Here is a 9,627-nt window from a genome sequence, read left to right as displayed (position 1 = left end):
GATTGATACTTCTGATTTCAAAACACTGCTGAAGTGTGTATATTTTTTAAGGATAGTTCAATGTCTATGATGTTGTATATCCTACCCATAAATCCTGGAGTGTTAGGCACATTAAAGATTAAAGATCAGTTAAATAAATTCCTGCTTGTTTGACTAAATAGCCTGTAAGTTAATAAACACTCTTTTGACTTAGTAAATATTTGTTTACTACATTACCTAGAGAAGTAGAGGCCCCTGTGAAAGTGAAGTTCTTGCAGGATTGTCATATTAACAAAGATTTACAATGGCATCATAAGGGACACAAAAGAGACAAAAATCAGTGTTGTTAGTTGCAGACAACAGAATCCACTCTAACTGGTTTAAACAAAAGGAAGCTATTAAAGAGATTAGATGATTCAAAGATTCTCTAGAAGAGCCAGAGAGTGGGCTCAGAGGCTACACAATTAAGAACAATGCTCCCAAACACTCTGCAGGGGCTCCTAAAAAGACATCACTGGCCAGGTGCAGAGGCTCACCCCTGTAATCCCAGCACTTTGGGAGGCTGAGGCAGGTGGATTGCTTGAGCCCAGGAGTTTGAGACCAGCCTGGACAATATGGCAAAACCCCATCTCTACAAAAAATACAAAAATTAGCCAGGCATGATGGCACATGCCTGTAGTCCCAGCTACCTGGGAGGATGAGGCAAGAGGATCACTTGAGCCTGGGAGGTTGAGGCTGTAGTGAGCCAAGATCACACCACTGCACTCCAGCCTGGGCAACAGAGTGAGACCCTGTCTCAAATTTAAAAAAAAAAAACAAGACAAAAGACATCACTGTCCCTGCCACTCGTCACACACACGGCAGCCCTCACTGAGGACTGGATGCAAACAGCGCCACCACCACTGTCTCTGAAAAGCTGAAACCTCCATCACCACACTCATCACAAAGTAGATGCTGCTTTCCCCTGTCATTCACATCTAAACTAAAGCCTTATGTGAGTCCAGCTGTTGGCAGATTCACATGTCTGTGCCTAAGTTACAAGGGCTGGCTGAAAGGGGACATTGAATTCCTGCTTCTGCCTTGGAAAGTCAGTTGATAAAGGGCTTACTCTTCCTTTTCCTACTCTTCTTCCTCTTCTCTTACCTTCCTGAACAATTCCATTCAAAAGCCATTAGATAGGGCCAAATTAGACCTCTGCACTGGGGAAAGGGAGGTAGTTGTTGTGTCCCAGAGTAGGCTGTCAGGGCCAGACTAAAGTGAGTTGTCTTCACAAGGGAAGAGAGGGCAGGTCCAGTGCAGAATTATCAGAGCCTGAGTTGGGTGGGGAGAGTACAGGGTAATGGAGCCTGAGCAGGGTGAGGAGAGATGGTGTCCACACAGGAGGAAATGTCAGAGTCCAAAAGAGTGAGGAAGACAGAGACTAAATATTTGTGTCCACCAAAATGTATGTGTTAAAGCTTAAGTCCCCAGTGTGACTTAGAGGTGGGGATTCTGGGTGATAATTAGGTCATGACAGTGGATCCTTCATGAATGGGATAGTGCCCTAATGAAAAGAGGAGGAAGCCAGGTGCCGTGGTTCATGCCTGTAATCCCAGCACTTTGGGAGGCTGGAGTTGGCAGATTGCTTGAGCTCAGGAGTTTGAGACCAGCCTGGGCAACATGGCAAAACCCTGTCTCTACAACAACACAAAAATTAGTCAGGTATAGTGGCTCACACCTGTAGTCCCAGCTACTCAAGAGCCTGAGGTGGGAGAACTGCTTGTACCCAGGAAGTTGAGGCTACACTGAGCCATGATCATGCCATTGCACTGTAGCCTGGGTGACAGAGCAAGAGCCTGTCTCAAAAAAAAAAAAAAATCTGTTTCAAAAGTTTAAAAAAGAAAAGAGGAAGACATGGGATTGCTCCGTCTGCCTTCTTCCATGTAAGGACCCAAGTAAGACACAGCCATCCATGTAAGACACAGCCACCTGCAAACCAAGAAGAGCATCCTCACCGGACACCAGATCTGCAGGTGCCTTGATCTTGGACTTTCAAGCCTTCAGAACTGTGATCAATAAATTTCTGCTGTTCAAGCCACCTCATCTGCAGTATTCAGTTGAAGCAGCCTGTGATAGTCAATTTTGTGTGTTAACATTACTGGGCTGGGGGTTGCCCAGATCACTGGTAAAACATGATTTCTGGGTGTGTCTGGTAGGGTGTGTCTGAAAGATATTAGCATGTGAATCAGTAGACTGAGTAAAGAAGATCCGTCCTCCCCAGTGTGAGCAGGCATTGTCTAATCTGTTGAGGCCCCAGATAGAACAAAGTGATAGAGGAAGAGCAAATTCTCTCTCCCTCCTTGAGCTGGGACATCCATCTTCTCCTGCCCTTGAACATCAGAGCTCTTGGCTCTTGGGCCTATGGCATCTGAAGCTGACACCAGAACCTCTCCCCACCAGATCCCAGGCTTTTGGCCTCAAACTAAGAGTTATACCATTGGCTCCCCTGGTTCTCAGGCCTTGGACTCTGAATCACACCACCAGCTTTCCTGGCTCCAGCTTATAGATGGCATACTGTGGGACTTCTCAGCCTTCTGAGTCACATGAGCCTCACATGAGCCAATTCTCGTCATATTGGTTCTGTTTCTCTAGATAAGCCTGACTAATATACAGCCCAAACTAAGACATCACACACGTGGGGGTACAGCCCAGTGCAGGGTATTAAAACCTGAGCAGACTAAAGGGGGCATTTGCATAAAAAGGTGACCCGGAACAGGGTGTCAGAGCCTGAGAGGAATGAGAAGGATGTTTAAATGGGAGTGGAACATTGCTATATGGGTGTTGGAGCTTCAGAGGAAGAGGAGGATTTTGGTAGAGGGAGCAGCCTGATGCAGAGTTCTGGAGCCCAGGCAAGGTGAAGAGAGCATCATCACAGGCAGCAGTTGCAGTAGCTCAGTTGGGTAGAAGAGCTCAAAAACGGTGAGAAGGGGATCCTTGCAGCAGAGGGGTGGCAATGGGAGGTGGCAACATATAGAGAAGTTGAACAAATAACACATTAAAAATAATAGAGCTAGGTTTCTTACTGTTAGACATGGGAGTTACAAATATGGAAAGGGAGAAAACTAGAATGAACACCGTGATTTGGGACTGGAATTGGAATTGGAGGTAGTGGAGTGGATTTGTGGTTTTTAACATAGATAAATAGATATAAAAATAAATACATATATATACACACACTTGCATGTACATATATTCTCTATCTCTGCCTCCCAAGAAAGCAGCAACATCTCCATTGTAATAAGCACATGCAGCACCCAGATTGTGGCTTCTAAATACCATTCTCACGTAAAAGGAACTAGGGCATCTTAGAGAAATGATTAATTCCACCTGGGCATGATGGCTCACACCTGTAATCCCAGCACATTGCAAGGCTGAGGCAGGTGGATCACCTGAGGTCAGGAGTTTGAGACCAGCCTGGCCAACATGGTGAAATTCTGTCTCTACTAAAAATACAAAAAAAAAAATTAGTTGGGCATGGTGGCACACACCTGTGGTCCCAGCTACTCAGGAACCTGAGGCATGAGAATTGCTTGAAACTGGGAGGCTGAGGGTGCAATGAGTGGAGATCACACCACTACACTCCAGCCTGGGCAACAGAGCAAGACTCTGCATCAAAAAAAAAAAGAAAGAAAGAAAGAAAGAAAAGATAAAAGAAAAAGAAAAAGAAAAATGGCTAATTCCATGATGCCTTACTGTGCTGGAGCTGCCCTACAAAATGCTACAGACTAGGTGTACTAAGAAACAGACATTTATTTCTCACAGCTCTGAAGGCTGGGAAATCCAAGATCAAGATACCAGTGATTCCATTCTTGAGGGTGCTGTCTTCCTGGATTGCAGATGGCTGACTTCTCACTGTGTCCTTGCATAGTGGGAGAGAGAGAAAGAAAACAAGCTTTCTCTGGTCTCTTCTGAAGACACTAATCCTATTAAATCAAGGCCCTGCCTATATGACCTCATTTAACCTTAATTACCTCCTTATAGGCCCTATCTCCAAATACAGTCGTATTGGAGGTTAGGGCTTCAACATATAAATTTTGAGGAGACACAATGCTGTCCATAGCACATGACTGGGGCAGGGAAAGTACAGAATGAGCCTATGACATCCTGTTTTGCCCAAAAGTAAGAAAATCTTCAAAGAATGATAAAGATGTATCAAAAAAGACCCAAAAGCCAGCTTGAAGGGGATTCCAATGGTTAAATCTGGTGGAGAAATCATGAAAATAAATGATATTAGTAACATTATAACCCTGTGAATAAAATAGAAACCATGAGTCACTACTGATATAAATAAATAAAGGAATAAATTGATAAAAAAGAGGTATGTACATAATGACTAAGTACCTCCTCACAAAATGCTTATTAATTACAAAGGGAAAAAAGAATAACTTATAGAGGAGAGGTCAGGTAGATATCACTTTAATTAAATCATCAAAGTTAACATCATCAGTAATGGGACAAACAGAAATCATGTACCACCTGACAGGATGCAGTGAGAACACAGCATCACTCCTGTAATATTTGTACCCAAGGTGTATTACCTGCATATAATCATGAAGAAACAATAGACAAGCCCACGTTGAAGAAGATTCTACAAAATAACTGGCCTATCATCTTCAAGGGAAAGATTGAAAGAGACATGACAAATAACGCAATGTGTAATCATAAGTTGAATCCTTTTGCTATATAATTAACACTATTGGAACAATCAGTGAAACTTGAATAGAGCCTGCAAATAGATGGTAGCAATGTAAAGAAGCCAGGAAACCATAATCAGACAGATGTGCACTCCACCTCCTATATCATCACTTTGCTCTCAGACTTAGCCAACAACATTACCTCCTCCTCAGCAGAGAATATAGAGGCCATCAAGATTGGATTGACTACCTCCACCTCCTGCACGACACCCATGCAACTTATCTTTCTTCATTTCCATCTTTACCGCTTTCCCTCTGGCCTCGGTGAAAGCAATGTCCCTCCACCTGTCCAAGTCCAGCCCTTCTGCCCTAGATTCCACATCTCCTACCTCCTTCTCCTCAAAAACGTGGCTGCATCAATCAGTCATGCTCAGTGTGTGGTCTCCACCCTACTCTTTCTATTGGTTCTTTCCCTCAGCCATGCTCAACGATCTTCTATTATAAAACATTTTTCCAAAGCCCTCTCTTTTTCTCCACAATTACTATTTCAGACCTTCATCACTTTACTCAAGCTCACCATTTCATCAGAGAATCTAAATTTTATACAACAGAATCCATTCTAGTAGTTAACTAGAAAAAAAAATTGTTTTCAGATATTATGAGGTTACTCACAGTATCCCTGGAAGTACTAGAAATTTGGACTCCAAAGGTATGAGACTGAAAACAATAACTCCTGCATTTCTTTCTTACTAGCCCCTCTTCTTCACTTCACAACCAAACTTTGTGCAAAATAAGTCTACACTTACTGTCTCCACTGCCTTCCTTCCCCTTCACTCTCTGTCCCACATTCCACTGAAACTGTCCTTGTTAAAATCACTTCTGACCTCCTAGTTGCCAAGTACATGGACTCTATTCCCCCCTGAAATCTCTACAGCACTTGAGACTATTGCTCTCGTCCCCTTCCTGACACTCTCCTGGTGTCCATGCTTTTGTGTAATTCCTTCCCTATGAATGCAGGTAGAACCTGTTAGTTGCTTCTAACCAATGGAATATGGGAAAAATGATGGGCTGTCCCTCTCTTAAGTTGTATTATATGGCAAAGGTGAGGGTATGTCATTCCCGTGGGTGCATTACCTTATTTAAGACTCTGCCATGGCAGGCTGGATCAAAAGATTCCTCTTGCTGGCTTGATGAAGTAAGCAGGCATGTTGAGGAAGCCAACATGGCAAGGAACTGCAGAAGGGACCTGAGGGTGACCTCCAGCCACTAGCCAGCAAAGCCAGGCTCTCAGTCATTCAACCTCAAGCAAATGAATTCTGCCAACAACCTGAATGAACAACAACAAAAAGCTAATTCTTCCCTTGTCAAGTTTCCAGATGAAAATGCAGCCTGGCTGACACATGATTATAGCTTTAGGAGACCCTGCACAGAGGGTTCAGTGAGACCATGCCCGGACTCTTGACTCACAGAAACTCCGTGATAATATTTGCATGTTATTTTAAGCTGCTGATTTTTTGTCATTTATTACACGGCATTAGAAAACTAATACAGCCTTCCTGAGGCAGGTAGATCCCATAGTGAAAGAAGGCAAGTAGATTAGCCATTCATGCTCATTCCATCTCCTAAACTCGACACTCAAATCATTGAGGGCGGCCAGGACCGTTTATCTGATGATGGTGCCTGCATATGGAAACATGAAGGCAACGGGAAGGAAAATCTCTCCATTCACCAACACCTCTGCCTCAATACAAAGCAAGAGTGGGAGAAAGAGAGAACTGTTAGGAGGATACAACCATAGTTCAGACAAAAGATGACAATGGCTTGAGTGGTACAGTGGCCAGGATGAGAAGTCAACAGATCTGAGACATATTTGGAAGGTATAAGTTGCCAGACTTGCTAATTGATTGGATACAGAGGGTGAGAGAGAAAAGATCAAGAACAACTTGTAGGTTTCTGGCTTGAACAACTGGGTATAGTGGTGCCACTTACCAAGCAAGGAAACACTGGGAGAGAAACAGTTTGGGGAAAGAGTGAAAAATTGAGTTCATTCTGGACATGTTAAGTTTCAGTGCCTGTGAGACATCCAAGTAGAGATGTCAATTAGGGGGCTGGATATGCCAATCTGGAGCTCAGAAGAGAAGTTGGGGCTGGAGATATGAATGTGTGAGTCACTGGCATAAAGATGTTATTTAAAGCTGTGGAGAGGTGTAGAAGCACCTTGGGAGGGAACGTAATCGTGCCCTTCCAGGCTCTCCCCCACGCCACCCTCCACACTACTTACTGGTCGTTCTAAAATGCAAATCCCATCATGTCAGTGCTAAGAATTATGCAATTGCAGTCAAAGGGATTTTTTCCCCTTCTTTTAAGTTTCAATTTTGCAGGAATTTTGTTTAAACTGTAAAAGGAACGCTATGTTAACATATTGTACATTGACCTAGTTTCACAGAAGAAATTATATAGCACTGATTAAAAGCCAGTACAATATTTGGAAAGTGGAAGAGAAACAGAGAACACAAAGAAAATATAAGACGGCAAGTGAATAATTAAATTATAGCAAGTGTGTTGCCTTTAACACTGCTTTCCCAGAGTAACTAAGATAATTTATAGAGCCAGCCAAAGATTTTAATTGCCTAAAAGGCCACTCTGCAGCTGTGTGACCTTGGAAACTGCTTTGACCTTTCTATGTCTCTTCGCTTTTTCTGTAAGGTGGGGATAATGATGTTTGCACTGCTTTCCTGGAAAGGTCGCTGAGAAGGCCAGATGAGATAATGGAAATAAAAACACTTTGAAAAGTTTACAGGAGGAGGAGGTCATAAGCTCCTTGGGTTCAGGGACTGCAACGTTTTGTGCTTATATCCTCTCCACCCAGCAGAGTGCCTAGAGTTCATTATAGGATTATTATCAGAAAGGGAAAAAATGCTTCCTGGGCTCCCTCTTGCCTTCAGAATAAATCTCAGTTGGGTTCCCTGAGAGCAGAGTCTAAGATTAAGACCTGGATGCAGATCATTTATGGGGTTGTCTGGGTTGTCCCCGGAGTGAGGGAGCAGGAACAGAGACCAAGAGAACATGCCAGAGTGTGGCACAACAGGGACACCACTGTGGAAGGCAATAGGGACTCAGTTCTGTGAAGATGCCGAGATGCTTCCTGAATCACTTCCGGGACTGTCCACCTGAAAGGTGGGAGTCTAGAACAGTGACCCACCACTCCAGCCCCTCCACTGCATGAGGTTGTCCTGGAGTATGACAGCCATCGACCCTCTTCAAGGGAAGCGCTGTGGCCTCAGAGACTCCTGGGGCAGAAGGTGGAGCCTGCTTGTGGTAAAACTTCTCATTGAGCAGTTGGCTTGGGCTTGCATAGAACCTTCCACCACTGTAGCAACTAAAGCCAGAGGTAGGCCAAGGGAATGTGATGTTGGGCACCAAAAGCTGTCTGCTACCAGATCCAAAACCTTCTGCCCGCCATTTGTCCTCCTATAGCTCCTAGCCCCACTTAAGGGGATTTTTCTGCTGTCAGACTGCTACACAGGCAGCCCTAGGGGGCTATTTTTTACCTCATATCCCTGACACCTCCCTATGCCACAGCTGATTGGATCAAGGACAGGCACCTGTCCTGAAGGCAGCCAGACTTTAGGCACACTAGTAACCCATAATTAGATAAAACCAATCAATCAGATTCTCTCCCTGGGGAATTCAAACTGGGAAACCCAAGAACATGAGTCCATCAGCAGCAGGTGTTGAAAGCAGCAGGATGAAAGGCAAGGATAGGGCTGTAAGAATAGGTCGAGTCTACCAGGGGGCCGACTGATCTAGAAAATTTATCATAAAAGAGATGATTCTTGACCTGAGTCTTATAAGGTGATGATGTGTTAACTAGACAGGCAGATAAAATGAACCAAAGTATGAGCAGACCAAGATTATAGAAATTAAAAGGTAAGGTAGAGAAAAGGTGAGTGAGGATAAGAATAAGCCAGTTGGTGTTGGGTCAGGTGGAGATGCCTAAAGGGGGACTGGATTTCCTTAAAAGCACAGAACTACCTTGAAGATGTTCCTGCTGCTCCTGAGGCCAGGTCATGCAGCTTCCTTACACCTGTGTCTTCTGACCACCCCACACTCCTTCAAATAAAGAGAATAATGGATTCCAGGCACCCACAATGTAGCCACTCTCCATATACTCCATATGTTCTCAGGCCAGCCCTGCCTCAAATTCCTGGGCAACTCTGTTTATTCTTTAAAACTCAGCTTGGACATCAGATCCTTTCTTGACTCCACTGTACCCCTATAGCCCTGAATCACATGCCTTTCCTCTGTCCTCCGGATACCCATATCCATCTCTACTGTAGCATTCTTTGAGTTCCAATTATTGATATTCTTATCTGTTACCGTTACACTGAGAACTCTCTGAAGATTGGGGAAAAAATTAATTACCCATTCATTTAACAAATATATGTTGAGTGTTATGTGCCACACATTGTTCTGGACATTGGAGACATAAAAATGAATAAGGAAGACAGAGTTCTTGCTCTCATGGAGCAATTGTTGGATGGATGGATGGATGGATGGATAGATGGTTTGGTAGTTGGGTGTGTGGATGGAAGGATGAGAGGGTGGAAAATGGATGGATGGAGAGATGGATGGATAGATGCATGTATGAGTAAATACATGGATGAAGCTTTGATGTGTAAAAGTCCACTATAAAGGAATAAAAGGTTTTGTCTTTGGTTAAACATTTACAGTCACCTCTTAGTCCAGACCTATCTGTATTCCTGTGTTAATTATCTATCACTATGTAACAAATTGCCCCATGACTGAGTGGCTTAAAATAATTATTACTTCACAGTTGTTGTGTGTCATGAATTTAGACAAAGCACAATGGAACACCTGGGGTCTCAGTTGGAAGCCTTGAAAGCTGGGACCTGAAATCACCAAAAGGCTTGACTGAGGGTGGAGTGCCTTCTTCCAAGGTGGCTCACTCACA

At 43.7% G+C, this 9,627-nt stretch overlaps 1 annotated feature.

Moving 5' to 3' along the window:
- Positions 1-678: an enhancer, noted in NCBI's record as "NANOG hESC enhancer chr1:114592578-114593255 (GRCh37/hg19 assembly coordinates)". NCBI's record gives its function as "activates a minimal SCP1, AML or CMV promoter by ChIP-STARR-seq in primed H9 embryonic stem cells {active_cell/tissue: H9 hESC(primed)}" and the evidence as "EXISTENCE:reporter gene assay evidence [ECO:0000049][PMID:30033119]".

Source organism: Homo sapiens, chromosome 1, assembly GCF_000001405.40.
Source record: "Homo sapiens chromosome 1, GRCh38.p14 Primary Assembly".
Taxonomy (NCBI): Eukaryota; Metazoa; Chordata; class Mammalia; order Primates; family Hominidae; genus Homo; species Homo sapiens.
Note: the sequence above shows the minus strand (reverse complement) of the source record. Positions and strands in the feature narration are given on the sequence as shown.